The sequence below is a fragment of the Homo sapiens genome, chromosome 17 (genome assembly GCF_000001405.40).
Source record: "Homo sapiens chromosome 17, GRCh38.p14 Primary Assembly".
NCBI lineage: Eukaryota > Metazoa > Chordata > Mammalia > Primates > Hominidae > Homo > Homo sapiens.
In genome coordinates, this window is record NC_000017.11 from 4,420,690 (window position 1) to 4,421,161 (window position 472).

General features: G+C 48.9%; 1 annotated feature.

Moving 5' to 3' along the window:
* Positions 1 to 200: a silencer, noted in NCBI's record as "silent region_8038". NCBI's record gives its function as "represses an Ori minimal core promoter by ATAC-STARR-seq in GM12878 lymphoblastoid cells {active_cell/tissue: GM12878}" and the evidence as "EXISTENCE:reporter gene assay evidence [ECO:0000049][PMID:35858748]".

Here is a 472-nt window from a genome sequence, read left to right on the forward strand (position 1 = left end):
TCAGGATCTTGAGACCACCCTGTATCACCCAGAAACTTTTGAGAGCCTACACCATGCGGGGCATAGGTCATGACTGCTATTTCCCATCATGACCACATGGTGTCGCCATTGAAACCTGGTTGTAACCAGTCCCCAGGACTTGGTGGTAACGATGCTTTTTGAAATCGTGCTAACCTCAGCGAGAAGGGTTCTAGGCTTGAGATGTCAAGCTTGCTGTTCTCAGGGTTCAGTGGCTGTATTTCCTGCACACTTTCCACCATCTAGGGTGACTCCTAGCTCCAGGAGGCCTGGGTTAGGACAGCTTCTGACATCTGCCACCTTCTAGATCTAGAACCTAAAATTTTCCCTTCCTCTTTGGGAATCCATACCAGGAGCTCGTTTCAGCCCTGCAAGCATCAAGGCTGAGAGGTGGTTAGCCATCTGCGAAGACATGGTCTGCTTATCCCGTGGCCACTTTCTTTTTTTTTTTTTT